The 17,679-nt window shown below is 38.0% G+C and overlaps 1 protein-coding gene across 4 annotated transcripts in view; it reads left to right on the forward strand.

Annotated features, from left to right (window-relative positions):
- VPS50 (VPS50 subunit of EARP/GARPII complex) overlaps positions 1-17,679 on the forward strand; it is a 128,758-nt gene that overhangs the window by 99,405 nt on the left and 11,674 nt on the right. For all 4 annotated transcript variants that reach the window (NM_001257998.2, NM_017667.4, XM_011516395.3 and 1 more), the window contains 3 exons: positions 2,347-2,427; positions 9,657-9,805; positions 16,941-17,037. In NM_001257998.2, coding sequence (NP_001244927.1) covers positions 2,347-2,427; positions 9,657-9,805; positions 16,941-17,037 — 327 coding nt within the window. The remainder of the gene's footprint in view (positions 1-2,346; positions 2,428-9,656; positions 9,806-16,940; positions 17,038-17,679) is intronic.

Consider the following 17,679-nt stretch of genomic DNA (forward strand, 5'->3'; position numbering starts at 1 on the left):
AGGTAGAAATACGAAAAGGCAAGTCAGACCAGGAGAAAATTTTGCAAACCATATTGAGAAAGGGCATGTTTACACAAAGTGTAAACAACTCTTATAACTCAATAAGAAAACAACCCACGTAAAAAATGGGAAGAGATTTTATCAGGTATCTGCACTGCAAAAGAAGATATGAGAATGGCTAATTAGCACATGAGAAGATGTTTGACATCACTGTCATCAGAGAAGTGCATGTTAAAAGCACATTGCAATACTTCTGTGCAACCACTAGAATGGCTAGTTAAAAGGCCTGACAGTATTAAGAATTGGCAAGTTTGTGGAGCCTTAGTCTGCTCCAACTTCCATAGCAGAATAGCATAGACTCGGCTGCTAAAGAACAGAAATTTATTTCTCACAGTTCTGGAGGCTAGAAAGTCCAAGATCAAGGTGGTGGCCAATTCATTTTCTGATGGAAGCACCCTTTCTGGCTAGCAGATGGTTGCTTTCTGCCTGTGTCTTCACATGGCCTTTCCTTTGATCATGTGGAAGGAGATAGTAAGCTCTCTAGTGTCTCTTCTTATAATGGCACTAATCCCATCATACCAGGGACCCACCCTCATGACCTCAGCTAAAGCTGATTTTATCTCCCAAAAGCCCCACCTCCAAATGCTATCACATTAAGGGTTAGGGTGTCAACATGCATTTTGAGGGAAAACACAAACGTTTAGTCCATGACATGGAACAAATAGAATTCACATACATTGTGTGAAGAAATGAAAACAGTACAGCTACTTTAGAAAACAACGTGGAAGTACCTTATAAGGTTAAAAACATATTTAGTATATGAATTAGAATATCGATTTCTAGTTATTTACCCAAGATAAGTGAAAATAATATATGTCCCGACAAGGACACACACATGAATGTTCATGGTGACATTATTCAAATAGCCCAAAACTGGAACCCAAATGTTAATTGACCGAATCAGTAAACTGAACAAGTAAAGAGATTGTACTGTATCCATACTACTAAATACAATAAAGCAATAAAACACTACAAAATACCACCAGACTCAACACGGATGAATCTCAAAAGCATTCTGAGTAAAACACATCAAACACAAAAGATTATATACTATGTGATTCCATTTATATGAAATTTTAGAAAAGGCAAAAACTACAGTGAGAGAAAGCAGGTCAGGGGTTAAGGGTGAGGGAAGGGGATAAGGGCAAAAGGTATGAGGACATTTTTAAGGGGGAGGGAACTCTATTATGGTGCTGGTTGCGAGATTGTATGCTATTACCAAATTCATCAAACTGTATACTTAAAAGGACTGAATGTAATTTATATATAAATAATACCTTAATGAAAATAGAAGAAAAATGGATTAATGAAGTTTATAAAACCTGGAGAAAATAAAATGTATTAAATATTATAAAATTAGTTCATGTTTTATTGCACAGTGTTATGGCACAACTATTTTCACGTAAGACTCTCTGACACGTGTAAATAATTTCTCATTCTTGTATCTCAAATGGGAGAGGAAGAGGAATAATAAATGTTCATGTATGCTTGTGTGTGTGTATAGTCACACTCATACATACATAATTTCTATGACTATGTTAATGACATACATTTTATAGCTTACTCTTAATAATGTTTTAAATTTATTGGCTCACAGAGAACATTGTAACATTTTTCCAAATGCCTTTAACTATGTATGATTACCTCTAAATTAAATTTATTTTCATCAATGGAATCATCACACAAGGAGCTGACTAACTGGCTTTTCATGTCTTATTCTTACCCTTCTCATTTATGCTCTTGTGTGAAGGTTTTTATAAATGCTTTGGCTTTGTTGTAGTGAATAGATTTCTATCTATACTGTGAAATGTTTACTAAGCCTAATAGAAAATCGTATTGATTTTTGAATGAGGAGTTAAGCTATCGCTAATTTGTATAAGAAAAATAACCAAAAAATATAAATAACTTTATGTTGTTATGCTGCCACATGAACACAGCACAGCATACCTTACATACAACAGAGTGTAATATGTTTATCTAAAATCTCAAGTTTTGCAACTAAAAATAATGACTCGCGAGAAAGAAATTCTGGAGAACTCTCTCCTGATAATTCTTAAGATTGATAGATGTTAGTGTGTCCTATAAATGCACACAGGTAAATGTTTCTTTGGTTCCCTTGAGATTTGACTCCTTTGTTTGATGTGCTAGAATTTGTAAATGCAATTTGGAAACCCTCTGAAGGCTAAGTATCTGAGTGAAAACTCATCAAATATCTTGGTTAATTTGAAGATGTAACATTTGCAAGATGATCTTTAGAACGATATAACAAGCCTTTTTCTTTTTCAGTTGGAATCAACTGGACTCGGCCTTAGTAGTAGTAGACTAAGAACAACTCTAAACAGAATACAAGAAAGCCTTATTGATCTAGTAAGTAACGAATTGGAATAAATTCTTTTGGATTATATAAAATGGAAATTAGCTATTCAATCAATTTCATATAAATGTGTGTCTATATGTATTGAGTAGCTGAGTCCTCAGAATTAAATGAGTGCATATAGGAAGTAAAACAGAGGTTGCTTATAGTCTGATCAGAGAGAAACTAGTATACATAAAAGAATATGATATTGGGCTTATATCTAGCACAAGTTCAAAGAAGAGAAAGGTTTATGTGAAAAACTAATATCAGAGGAGGACTAAAGGAAGAAGTAACACTTGTGCTAGGCTTCGAAGACCAGGCATAGGATTAATGGGAGAGAGAAAAGTCTTTAAATTAAGGTACACAGGGTGAGCAAGGGCCTTGAGGTGGGTGCAGCCCGAAGTTTGACAGATCTTATGATTGGGACACTGGTATATGCTGCCGAGTTAGGTTGCAGAGAGTGTCTGGGACACTTTATAAACGGCTTTGAAATTCAAGGAGAAAGTTTGGGTTTAGTTTGCTGTGTAGTAGGGAGCCTGGTTCTTGACTGTTGTCACAGGATGAAATACATGTTTTAAGAAGATAGGTTAGATAGCAACACAGGGTTGACCTCCTGTACTGTTTCAGCTAACATAAGCATTTAAAATGAGAAAATCTTTTTTTCTTGTGGTTGGTCACTGTAGCCGGAAATTTATGTTATTCAGACGTTTCTCCACATCTACTTTAACCCCAGGCTTCTCTGACTTTTCCTTTATTCCTTCAACCTAACACAAACAAGCAATCATTTTCCTCCTTTTTCATAAGCTCTATATTATGTGCTTACCTCTGTTATTGAAGCTTTTTATAAAGCCATGATTATTAATTCTTTTAAGAAATACTGTTGCAACAATTGTTATATGCCAGGCATTGTTAAAGAGCTGGGAATTCATCAGTGCACAGAAGAGATATTTCCTGTCTTGGAACTTGTATTTTTTTGGAGCAGAGAGACAAACAAATGTGTAACATAGTGTCAGATACTCATGAGTACTAAGATGAAACTGAAGCGGTGATAGGATGGGGATCTTGAGCAGAGATGTGAATAATGTGAGTGAGGCATGTACTGATATCTCAGGTGAGCGCTGTTTGGGCAGAAGAAATAAATGGTATCCTTCTCTCTTAACATTTGGAGATCCTTTTACCCAACACATTTTTAAAAATATAGTCATATCACTTACCTTGGCACATAACATTGCTTCAGTAAATGTTCATAGAGTAGGTGAATATACCCCAGTCGCTGAGTTTCTTGTTTCTTGGCATAACTTGGCTTGTTTTTTTGGTTTTGATATTTGTTTAATCCTTGATCTTCAATTTCAGAGTCAAGGCTCCTTATTTGATCCACCCTTTTTGTTTCTCTTTTTTCTTTTCTTTTTTGTTTTTAGTCTTTGTTTTGTAAAATCCATTGGTCTCAGCCCCACTTGCAGTTTTCTGTGTTTCGATTTTGATTCTTCTTATTTGATACTTAAGTATAACCTTGAGCATCAAATCTTATTCTCCAGATCTTAGTCCACAGCTAAAGTTTTTCTTGGTTCTTACTGAAAGTCCCAAGATTGATGGGCCAGATTTTACCACTAGGGCCATTCACCCTGGCATTTCTGTGTCATCCCTGCTAGCTACTATCTTGTGATCATCAAACTCCAGTTCTAGATTTGACCCTTAAGATGTGGATTTCTGCCTCAGATTTTACCACATAGTGTATAATGAATTATTACTCATACTGATAAACATTGGTTTGTTATTTTAGAAAATATATTTGTCATTTACTAGAACTTGCTTGATCTCAGGATTTTTTAAGCTGGTATGTATTAATTTTCTTCACTTCATTAATTTGCATTTACAATGGCAGAGTACATTAATTGATTTCTTGCTACTCAATACATTCTTTGGCTACTAAAATAATTTATAGCTTAATCAATCTGAAACCAACTAGATGGAAGTAATATTTTTCCTTATATTTCTCTTGCACGTCAGTTAAAATCTTAATAAATACTTTTTTGGTAATTTTATTTTCTCCATATAGATATTCTAAGTTTTACTTCTCTTTAAGCTGTAAAAGGCAAAATAGAATCATTGTGGTCTTAAAAGTGCCACCCGAAATAATTTATCATGTAAATTCAATGTAAACTAAGAAAATTTGTTTGTCACATCAAATAAAAATTTAAGAAAAGTTGTCTAATAGGAAAAGTAAGAAAGGAAGCTGGTATAGGCGATAGTGACAGCAGAAAGTTGAATTTTTAGTTATCCATTTGGTTATGCTAACTAAATTGTTTGCTTTAAGACCTTTAGCCAACTTATTTATTTATTTGCTTATGAGACAGTCTCACTATGTCACCCAGGCTGGAGTGCAGTGGTAAGATCTTGTCTCACTGCAACCTCCACCTCCCAGGTTCAAGCAATTCTCCTGCCTCAGCCTCCCGAGTAGCTGGAATTACAGGCTGTCACCACCACGCCCGGCTAGTTTTTGTATTTTTAGTAGAGACAGGTTTGCCATGTTGGCCAGGCTGGTCTTGAACTCCTGACCTCAGGTGATCCTTCTGCCTCAGCCTCCCAAAGTGCTGGGATTACAGGCATGAGCCACTGCACCTGGGCCTTTAGCCAACTTTAAATCTTTGATAATAAAAAGTATTTTAAATTTGTCCAGAAAAATTCATAAATATGAATTCTCTTTGTAGTAGTACATTGGTGGTAGGAAAGGCTAAAAAATGTGACTCTCACTGTGAAAATAAAGGTGGTTAAGGTTTCATTTTTCAATCTTTAAAGGGTTATATCCTTTACTTATTGTACTCCTATAAACTGAAACAGCCAGTTTAGGAGCTTTTTATTTAAGTGTGCAGTAAGCACATACCATTTATTTATGTCAGCTTGACATTTTCGTGACTCTCTTGCTCTCTTCAAGCGTATTTTCCTAAATATAAACACAGAACTTTAGTCTTTAAGCAAATAATTATCATAAATTTTATGCCTCAAATGCCAGGCTTACAACTGGGAACAAAGGAAGGTATTTTAATGAAAGCCTTTTGAAGTGGGGGCAACAATTCCAGTGATCTTCTAAAGAATGCTTTTGTGAAAGAGCTCCCTGAGTAGAAGGGAACTCAGTGCATTTGTGTTGGAGGCACTAAGGAGGTAGTTAGGTAAATGCTTTTGGCTCCTCTTGTCATATGGAAGATAACTGTATTCTCTCAGACTATAGATATACCCTCTCCTTGACTTCCATTATTTTCTAGAGCCACCTCCCTGTTCTATCCCTAATTAACTAGTTAGTACCTAAATTCAAAGAAACTTTTAGTTTTATAAATATATTGTGTATATGATATCTAATCCAAAAGAATGAAATTTAAAAGTAACTGCTATTATAAGTATGTGGTATTCATGGGGATCCTTGAGCTATTTTGAGTTTGAGATTGTACAATATTGTCAGAAAATTCATATCAGATTTAGCTTAATTATACAATATTTTAAAAGCAGAAGTGTTTGATGCTTAGAGTTTTGTTATACTATTGGAGTATAATCTTCCAAGTTTTTACTCATAGAAGGAAACTTATCTGTGCTCACTTAACCTGTACAGCATTCATACATACCTAGTAACTGTCAGCTTCTGCTTGAACATCTCCAGTGATGTTTTTCTGGGAACTCATAACCACCCAAAGCAGCCCTGCTTGCCTTAAGTTTGCCTGATAGAATGTGCTTTGTTATGATGTAACCAAATATGCTTCTCTCTTGAACTATTTTCTGTTATTTATATTTCTACCTCTTTTGGACCACTTTGAGTAGCCACCCATTTTGCCCAAGTAAGTCATTTCTTCTACCAGTTCCTTTATTCATTTTTCATGTTTCAGAGTTTTAGGTCTCCTCACCATTCTTTGACTTGTTCTGAAATAGGTATTTACAACTCTGAACTAAGAAGAAAGTTGAGAGCACTCTAAGAGGTATTGGAAGCAGACAGAAAACGAGCTATGTGATGAGGGTGCAGGATGAGATACAAGATAGTTGGATAGCTATCTTTATTACTAATTCATTCCACAATACATATTGCATGCCTAGGTACTTTGTGGTAGACTGATGGTCCCCGGAGTGGAGGAGGCAGTTAAGGAATAAATGAAGATCTAATTTAACATCAGATTGTGTTGAAAGCAATGAAGAAATTAGGTGAGAAGGACAGAGAGAGAAAGGGTGTAATTTTATTTGGGCAGTTAGAGAAGATCCCTCTGGAAAGGAACATTGAAGAAGATCCCTAAAGGAAATAGGAGAGTGAGCCACCCTTATTCAACAAATGTTTATATAGTATCTGTTTGTTGAACACTATATATGGTGCCAAGCACTGTTCTAGGAATTAAGAATACAATTGTAGGGGAAGGTGGGGAAGCCAAACAAAACTCCCTACCCATGTAGAGTTTATTTTCTAGTAGGGGGAAGATATTTTGGGGAACAGTGTTTTAGGCTAGAGTCAGTTGTAAACAGGTAATAGCATGGTAACATGTTTATAGACTTTTTCCTGGAAGGGTTGGATTGAGGCTTTAAAACCAGGGAGTGTTATGATCACATCTCTATTTGAGAAAGTTCACATCAGTATTGTAGAAAAATCAATCAGTTAACTGTGTGGAAACTGGCATAGAAATAGGAGATGCTAGAGACAGAGCTCTCTATTCATGGGCTTTTAGAATAGTCCAGTCAAGACTGCTAAGGAGCCTGTGACCTGTTTAAATAGTAACATCCGGAAGGAACAAACAAGAGAGGTGTCTGTTTAGGCATGTTTTAGTGATTGATTGGATGTGGAAGGTGAGGAAGAAGGGGAGTCATGAATGACTGTAAGGTTCCTTACTTGTTTCTTATCAATAACTACCAGAATTAAATAGCATAGACAACCAATTGGTGCCAAACAGTATTTAATTTTGTGAATTTTTATTCTCCTTTTTTTTTTCTGCTGGAGTAGGGTTATTTCCTTTTTAGAGGGAAATGAATGATGGAGATACGACATTAATTAACTTGCATGGATCCATGATCCTGCTTCTCCCTAGAGGAAGCACAGTTATTCCCCAACTAACTTTTAAATGCTAATTGAGTAATTAGAGATTGAAAAGAGACACTGTCTTTAGGAGAAGATAGGAAATAAAAAAAAAAAAAACAGAACTAAAGAATTAAACCACTTTCTAACTTGAAAAGTTTTATAATTTTTATTTGCATTTTGCTAAATTTATAGGAGTAAATTATATGTATGCATTTGATGTCTCATTTATTCATATGGAAAATAATTGGAGATTTGTTACTATCAAGTTGCTGTAAAAAGTAATCTAGCTTTATATTTTGTACACTATTAGATGCGTTTACATCCAATTTTTGTGCTAAATTTTCTTTGAGGGTTTTTTAAAGCTATTTTATTTGCATTTAAACATTTAGTTTTGCTATCTGCCTACTCATATGTTCTCACCTTTAAACTCCATAATAGAGATAACCATGGAGTGTTTTCCATACTGAAAGTAGTACATAAACTGCAGGGGTTGTATTATATAATGTTTAGCATCTCTTCTAACTCTGTCATTCTATGATTCAATCAACATTTTAAAACTTTGAGTGGGGGCAGGGGTTAACTTGTATTCAGATTAACTTTAAAAAAGATAATAGCATTTTTGTACTATGAGCTATTGCTTAACTTACATAGCTTTTATTCTATTTTTTTTCTTTTTGTAAATTTCTCTTATGGAATTTTTTAAAAAATGTAATGAATGGAATTCATTGCCATGTCAGTACTGTAAAACTCTATAGTTAAACTAAAAGTATAATGACCATTTGTAATTCAAGCTCATTGTTATTAGAAATATATTTGGTTATAAAAGTTCTTAATGGCCTTCACAGTGAAGTGACCCTGGATTATACTGTCATCAGTGATGTTAAGATTCCTGCAGTGTCACTACCTTGACCTCTCTCCTTCGTGCCCCAGAAAACAATAATTAAAAGTCTCTTTCTCTGAGGTGTAATGCAGCAACTATTCAAATAACTGTTATGATGATGCCAGTATTCTAAACAGCCTTCTTTCATGTTTGCTGTACAAAGGGAAACTTAGTCACCAAAATAAGTTTATATTAAGTTAAATATTGAAATATTTGGAGTGATTGGTAACTCTTGAGCTGGCAGTCTTCTGGTACTCTGTCAGCTACTCCGAGTAGCCAGCCTTGTGCATCTTTACCCATGATCTCAAGATATTCCCATCCTCCTGGCAAAAAAAGGTGGCCAGTGTGCCTGGGAGTTGAAATGTGTTTTTGTTTTTTTAACTGTTTGCTAAGAGCTTAGTAAAAAATGAGTCCCTTGCTATGTATTGAGAAGTTGAGTAAGTGTATCTTTGAAACTCTTCCTTTGCCAACCTGTTTGTTTATAACATAGGATATGTTTATATGAAGTCCAAGAATGTACATAAACTCATATCCAAGGCATTCGTTGCCTGGCATCAGAATACCTAGAAAGGTAAATTAGTAATGAGAAGATTTCTAATGAGTATATCATCAGATGAAAGTAAAACTGAGAAATTTGAAGTCCGATGAGTTTTCCCGACCACAAATTAGACTGCATCACTCCTGTTGACTACATGGCTGTGTAACTGAATCAGTGGTTCTCTCCTGGATGGTGCTGAAGAGCCTGGCACACCCTGCTTCCTGGGTATCCCTTTCCTTTGTTCACATTGACCATCTTCCTTCTTATCAGCAGTCTGTCCCCAGACATATACAATACAGTTGGCTCTGTTCTAGTTTATAACTTCATTCTAGTCCTGCCTTCTTGAGATTATATACCAGGGTAACCTTCATTAAAATTTGGGTGTGAGATGGTTAATCAAAAAATAATTTTGGATTTTATCAGCATGGTTCTCAAGGGGTAATCATATTTCTCTCATTTACAAGTTCTTGAGGGCCATCTCACTGTTGTCACTGTGAAACATCTGTCAATTCATAAAGAGTCCTTGTGTTGACAGACTTTAGGTCATGTACAGATGGTAGCATGTAGAGTTGGATGATATTATGTAGGCTCATTCTCATTTAGGATTAAAAAGAAGGTTCCAATAGTTACAAACATGAAAGCAGGATAAAAAGAACTGAACCTAAATGTAATTAACGTGTGCCCCAAGAGTATTTTAATTTTAATTCTAATTTTGTCAAAATCACGTGGTTTATTACTGTTAGATTTGTTATTCCAGGTTGTATATCTATTGTATTTTCAGGAAGTTTCAGCTGATCCTACTGCCACACTCACAGCAGCAGAAGAAAGAAAGGAGAAGGTGCCAAGTCCACACCTCAGTCACCTAGTGGTTTTGACATCTGGGGATACGCTGTATGGGTTGGCAGAAAGAGTGGTAGCCACGGAATCCTTGTAAGTTGTTCAAAACAGTTGCGTTGCCATTAAATATTTAAGAAACTTTATAAAAGAAGCATTGTTTAATTAGACTTCTAGTTAGCTGCATACATCTACCACTTCTAAATATCACTTATATGTTTCTGAGAAGTATATTCTAACACAGATTACCAATTGATTTTTTAAACTGCATGGTTGGTTTTTCAGTTATAGAAATGGAAAGAAGGAAATCTTTTAATTTTCAGCCTTTAACAACATGATCCATGCTTTAAGTACAACTTTAAAAAGCATTATACTATGCTTCATATTTTCCTATTGATGACTTATGATCTCAGGAGAAGCTGTAGTTGCATTGTCAATTTAGTGTTAAGTATAGTTGATCCTTGACATCAATAAGAATGCTTCCTGGGGAGAAGCCAAGATGGCCGAATAGGAACAGCTCCAGTCTGCAGCTCCCAGCGTGAACGACACAGAAGACGGGTGATTTCTGCATTTCCATCTGAGGTACCGGGTTCATCTCACTAGGGAGTGCCAGACAGTGGGCGCAGGTCAGTGGGTGCGCGCACTGTGCATGAGCCGAAGCAGGGCGAGGCATTGCCTCACTAGGGAAGCACAAGGGGTCAGGGAGTTCCCTTTCCTAGTCAAAGAAAGTGGTGACAGACGGCACCTGCAAATCTGGGTCACTCCCACCCGAATACTGTGCTTTTCCGACGGGCTTAAAAAACGGTGCATCAGGAGATTATATCCCGCACCTGGCTCGGAGGGTCCCATGCCCACGAAGTCTCGCTGATTGCTAGCACAGCAGTCTGAGATCAAACTGCAAGGCGGCAGTGACGCTGGGGGAGGGGCACCCGCCATTGCCCAGGCTTGCTTAGGTAAACAAAGCAGCCTGGAAGCTCGAACTAGGTGGAGCCCACCACAGCCCAAGGAGGCCTGCCTGCCTCTGTAGGCTCCACCTCTGGGGGCAGGGCACAGACAAACAAAAAGACAGCAGTAACCTCTGCAGACTTAAATGTCCCTGTCTGACAGCTTTGAAGAGAGCAGTGGTTCTCCCAGCACGCAGCTGGAGATCTGAGAACGGGCAGACTGCCTCAAGTGGGTCCCTGACCACTGACCCCTGATCCCCGAGCAGCCGAACTGGGAGGCACCCCCCAGCAGGGGCACACTGACACCTCACACGACTGGGTACTCCAACAGACCTGCAGCTGAGGGTCTTGTCTGTTAGAAGGAAAACTAACAAACAGAAAGGACATCCACACCAAAAACCCATCTGTACATCACCATCATCAAAGACCAAAAGTAGATAAAACCACAAAGATGGGGAAAAAAACAGAGCAGAAAACCTGGAAACTCTAAAAAGCACAGCACCTCTCCTCCTCCAAAGGAACACAGTTCCTCACCAGCAACGGAACAAAGCTGGACGGAGAATGACTTTGACGAGCTGAGAGAAGAAGGCTTCAGATGATCAAATTACTCCGAGCTACGGGAGGACATTCAAACCAAAGGCAAAGAAGTAGAAAACTTTGAAAAAAATTTAGACGAATGTATAAGTAGAATAACCAATACAGAGAAGTGCTTAAAGGAGCTGATGGAGCTGAAAACCAAGGCTCGAGAACTACGTGAAGAATGCAGAAGCCTCAGGAGCCGATGCGATCAACTGGAAGAAAGGGTATCAGCGATGGAAGATGAAATGAATGAAATGAAGCGAGAAGGGAAGTTTAGAGAAAAGAGAATAAAAAGAAATGAACAAAGCCTCCAAGAAATATGGGACTATGTGAAAAGACCAAATCTACGTCTGATTGGTGTACCTGAAAGTGACGGGGAGAATGGAACCAAGTTGGAAGACACTCTGCAGGATATTATCCAGGAGAACTTCCCCAATCTAGCAAGGCAGGCCAACGTTCAGATTCAGGAAATACAGAGAATGCCACAAAGATACTCCTCGAGAAGAGCAACACCAAGACACATAATTGTCAGATTCACCAAAGTTGAAATGAAGGAAAAAATGTTAAGGGCAGCCAGAGAGAAAGGTCGGGTTACCCTCAAAGGGAAGCCCATCAGACTAACAGCAGATCTCTCGGCAGAAACTCTACAAGCCAGAAGAGAGTAGGGGCCAATATTCAACATTCTTAAAAGAATTTCCAACCCAGAATTTCATATCCAGCCAAACTAAGCTTCATAAGTGAAGGAGAAATAAAATACTTTACAGACAAGCAAATGCTGAGAGATTTTGTCACCACCAGGCCTGCCCTAAAAGAGCTCCTGAAGGAAGCGCTAAACCTGGAAAGGAACAACCGGTACCAGCCGCTGCAAAATCATGCCAAAATGTAAAGACCATCCAGACTAGGAAGAAACTGCATCAACTAACGAGCAAAATAACCAGCTAACATCATAATGACAGGATCAAATTCACACATAACCATATTAACTTTAAATGTAAATGGACTAAATGCTCCAATTAAAAGACACAGACTGGCAAATTGGATAAAGAGTCAAGACCCATCAGTGTGCTGTATTCAGGAAACCCATCTCACGGGCAGAGACACACATAGGCTCAAAATAAAAGGATGGAGGAAGATCTACCAAGCAAATCGAAAACAAAAAAAGGCAGGGGTTGCAATCCTAGTCTCTGATAAAACAGACTTTAAACCAACAAAGATCAAAAGAGACAAAGAAGGCCATTACTTAATGATAAAGGGATCAATTCAACAAGAAAAGCTAACTATCCTAAATATATATGCACCCCAATACAGGAGCACCCAGATGCATAAAGCAAGTCCTGAGTGACCTACAAAGAGACTTAGACTCCCACACATTAATAATGGGAGACTTTAACACCCCACTGTCAACATTAGACAGATCAACGAGACAGAAAGTTAACAAGGATACCCAGGAATTGAACTCAGCTCTGCATCAAGCAGACCTAATAGACATCTACAGAACTCTCCACCACAAATCAACAGAACATACATTTTTTGCAGCACCACACCACACCTATTCCAAAATTGACCACATACTTGGAAGTAAAGCTCTCCTCAGCAAATGTAAAAGAACAGAAATTATAACAAACTATCTCTCAGACCACAGTGCAATCAAACTAGAACTCAGGATTAAGAATCTCACTCAAAACCGCTCAACTACATGGAAACTGAACCTGCTCCTGAATAACTACTGGGTACATAACGAAATGAAGGCAGAAATAAAGATGTTCTTTGAAACCAACAAGAACAAAGACACAACATACCAGAATCTCTGGGACACATTCAAAGCAGTGTGTAGAGGGAAATTTATAGCACTAAATGCCCACAAGAGAAAGCAGGAAAGATCCAAAATTGACACCCTAACATCACAATTAAAACAACTAGAAAAGCAAGAGCAAACACATTCAAAAGCTAGCAGAAGGCAAGAAATAACTAAAATCAGAGGAGAACTGAAGGAAATAGAGACACAAAAAACCCTTCACAAAATTAACGAATCCAGGAGCTGGTTTTTTGAAAGGATCAACAAAATTGATAGACTGCTAGCAAGACTAATAAAGAAAAAAAGAGAGAAGAATCAAATAGATGCAATAATAAATGATAAAGGGGATATCACCACCGATCCCACAGAAATACAAACTACCTTCAGAGAATACTACAAACACCTCTACGCAAATAAACTAGAAAATCTAGAAGAAATGGATAAATTCCTCGACACATACACTCTCCCAAGACTAAACCAGGAAGAAGTTGAGTCTCTGAATAGACCAATAACAGGAGCTGAAATTGTGGCAATAATCAATAGCTTACCAACGAAAAAGAGTCCAGGACCAGATGGATTCACAGCCAAATTCTACCAGAGGTACAAGGAGGAACTGGTACCATTCCTTCTGAAACTATTCCAATCAATAGAAAAAGAGGGAATCCTCCCTAACTCATTTTGAGGCCAGCATCATCCTGATACCAAAGCCGGGCAGAGACACAACCAAAAAAGAGAATTTTAGACCAATATCCTTGATGAACATTGATGCAAAAATCCTTAATAAAATACTGGCAAACCGAATCCAGCAGCACATCAAAAAGCTTATCCACCATGATCAAGTGGGCTTCATCCCTGGGATGCAAGGCTGGTTCAATATACACAAATCAATAAATGTAATCCAGCATATAAACAGAAGCAAAGACGAAAACCACATGATTATCTCAATAGATGCAGAAAAGGCCTTTGACAAAATTCAACAACCCTTCATGCAAAAAACTCTCAATAAATTAGGTATTGATGGGATGTATCGCAAAATAATAAGAGCTATCTATGACAAACCCACAGCCAATATCATACTGAATGGGCAAAAACTGGAAGCATTCCCTTTGAAAACTGGCACAAGACAGGGATGCCCTCTCTTACCAATCCTATTCAACACAGTGTTGGAAGTTCTGGCCAGGGCAATTAGTCAGGAGAAGGAAATAAAGGGTATTCAATTAGGAAAAGAGGAAGTCAAATTGTCCCTGTTTGCAGACGACATGATTGTATATCTACAAAACCCCATTGTCTCAGCCCAAAATCTCCTTAAGCTGATAAGCAACTTCAGCAAAATCTCAGGATATAAAATCAATGTACAAAAATCACAAGCATTCTTATACACCAACAACAGACAGAGAGCCAAATCATGAGTGAACTCCCATTCACAATTGCTTCAAAGAGAATAAAATACCTAGGAATCCAACTTACAAGGGATGTGAAGGACCTCTTCAAGGAGAACTACAGACCACTGCTCAAAGAAATAAAAGAGGATACAAACAAATGGAAGAACATTCCATGCTCATGGGTAGGAAGAATCAATATAATGAAAATGGCCATACTGCCCAAGGTAATTTACAGATTCAATGCCATCCCCATCAAGCTACCAATGACTTTCTTCACAGAATTGGAAAAAGCTACTTTAAAGTTCATATGGAACCAAAAAAGAGCCTGCATCGCCAAGTCCATCCTGAGCCAAAAGAACAAAGCTGGAGGCATCACACTACCTGACTTCAAACTATACTACAAGGCTACAGTAACCAAAACAGCATGGTACTGGTACCAAAACAGAGATATAGATCAATGGAACAGAACAGAGCCCACAGAAATAACACCACATATCTACAACTATCTGATCTTTGACAAACCTGAGAAAAACAAGCAATGGGGAAAGGATTCCCTATTTAATAAATGGTGCTTGGAAAACTGGCTAGCCATATGTAGAAAGCTGAAACTGGATCCCTTCCTTACACCTTATACAAAAATCAATTCAAGATGGATTAAAGACTTAAACGTTAGACCTAAAACCATAAAAACCCTAGAAGAAAACCTAGGCATTACCATTCAGGACATAGGCATGGGCAAGGACTTCATGTCTAAAACACCAAAAGCAATGGCAACAAAAGCCAAAATTGACAAATGGGATCTAATTAAACTAAAGAGCTTCTGCACAGCAAAAGAAACTACCATCAGAGTGAGCAGGCAACCTACAAAATGGGAGAAAATTTTCGCAACCTACTCATCTGACAAAGGGCTAATATCCAGAATCTACAATGAACTCAAACAAGTTTGCAAGAAAAAAACAAACAACCCCATCAAAAAGTGGGCAAAGGATATAAATAGACACTTCTCAAAAGAAGACATTTATGCAGCCAAAAAACACATGAAAAAATGCTCACCATCACTGGCCATCAGAGAAATGCAAATCAAAACCACAATGAGATACCATCTCACACCAGTTAGAATGGCAATCATTAAAAAGTCAGGAAACAACAGGTGCTGGAGAGGATGTGGAGAAATAGGAACACTTTTACACTGTTGGTGGGACTGTAAACTAGTTCAACCCTTGTGGAAGTCAGTGTGGCGATTCCTCAGGGATCTAGAACTAGAAATACCATTTGACCCAGCCATCCCATTACTGGGTATATACCCAAAGGACTATAAATCATGCTGCTATAAAGACACATGCACACGTATGTTTATTGTGGCACTATTCACAATGGCAAAGACTTGGAACCAACCCAAATGTCCAACAATGATAGACTCGATTAAGAAAATGTGGCACATATACAGCATGGAATACTATGCAGCCATAAAAAATGATGAGTTCATGTCCTTTGTAGGGACATGGATGAAATTGGAAATCATCATTCGCAGTAAACTATCGCAAGAACAAAAAACCAAACACTGCATATTCTCACTCATAGGTGGGAATTGAACAATGAGAACACACGGACACAGGAAGGGAAACATCACACTCTGGGGACTGTTGTGGGGTGGGGGGAGGGGGGAGGGATAGCACTGGGAGATATACCTAATGCTAGATGACGAGTTAATGGGTGCAGCGCACCAGCATGGCACATGTATACCTATGTAAGTAACCTGCACATTGTGCACATGTACCCTAAAAAAGTATTATAATAATAATAATTAAAAAAAAGAAAAAAAAAAGAATGCTTCCTGACCTTTATAAATCCCTAAAGTTAGTAATACAATTAACGCATATAACTTCTTTGGCATTTCTATAAAATGTAGTCCAATATAACATAAGAGTTTTTGCATTAGTAAGAAAAAGCAGAAAAAGACAGTGCCTGGATGCAGTGCAACTGCAGGCAGTAGTCCAGGCTCCTTCACCAGCCCACTGACTCCCATTCCTGTACCCAGCCTCTGGCACCTGTCATTCATCTGTGATACTCAGCCAAGTTACAGTCTGCTGCCTATTAGGAATGTTGGGGTTACTTCTGAAAAGTGTCAGATATTGAATCTGAGATTTCAAGAGTCTGTTGTGTATAACTGAATGAGATCTTTAAAAGAAATCCTTTAAAAAAATACCCTTGTGTTCTTTTTTCAACCTGCTACTCTGGGCTCACATCTTACATTTGAAGCACATGACTACACCTCATCATAAGCTGCTTGGCTCCTTTGAAGTTGTTCTTCTTTCACCTCAACTTCCATTCAGTCATAAACTCAGCATTATTTATTGTGTAGATTATAAATGAACATGTCAAGTGGTAGTACAGGTTCGTCCACTAAAGTGGAAAGTAATTTTTATTGTTAAAGTTTTGCTCAGAAATGTTAAAAAATACTTATACGAAAGCATGACAGGCTCTAAATCCTACACAATTTGTTTACACAGTGGGTTATTTATTCCCTTTAGGGTATTCTTGGCTGAACAGTTTGAGTTCCTTCAGCCACATCTGGATGCTGTGATGCCTGCAGTCAAAAAGCCCTTTCTTCAGCAGTTCTATTCTCAGGTCAGACATGGTCTTGTATGTCATTTCAACTGTGAGGAAGATAGGACTGTCACAGATTATTTAGATTTTTTGTTGTTTTTTTTAACTGGAAGTCAGTCTTGAAACCCCAGGAGAGCCAGATAAAATATTCATTTATTCACTCATGAATTCCTACATTAAATACATACTATCGAGCACCTCATGTAACTTTTAGACTAGTGAGAGAGAGAGCATCAGTTAAAACTGTTAAAATAAAGCATGATAAGTACTGTGGTAAGGGGAAAGTGCCATGAGTGTATTTAACCCAGACTGGAGAAGGGGAGAGGCTTTGGGTGGGAGAAGGTCATCTAGAAAGGCTATCTAGAGGAAGTAATGTTTAAACTGGACCAGCAGGGTAGAGAGGGTGAATGAGGGATGGATTCTAGACAAAGGGAATGGCATGTCTGAAGACCTGCAGGTGAGAAAGAGCATGGTGCATGCAAACAGCTGAGGAAAGCTTGTTAGAGTTGGGAGGAGGTCTGGGGATGAGAAAGATGGCTGGGGCAATCAGCAGGAACCACTGGCATGTAAAGCACCCTGCTTCAGGAGTTGGACTTTATTTGGAGGGCATGGAAGCTCCTGGAGGGTTTGAAACAGGTGAGTGGCATGGTTGGGTTTGTGTTT

Source organism: Homo sapiens, chromosome 7 (genome assembly GCF_000001405.40).
Source record: "Homo sapiens chromosome 7, GRCh38.p14 Primary Assembly".
Taxonomy (NCBI): Eukaryota; Metazoa; Chordata; class Mammalia; order Primates; family Hominidae; genus Homo; species Homo sapiens.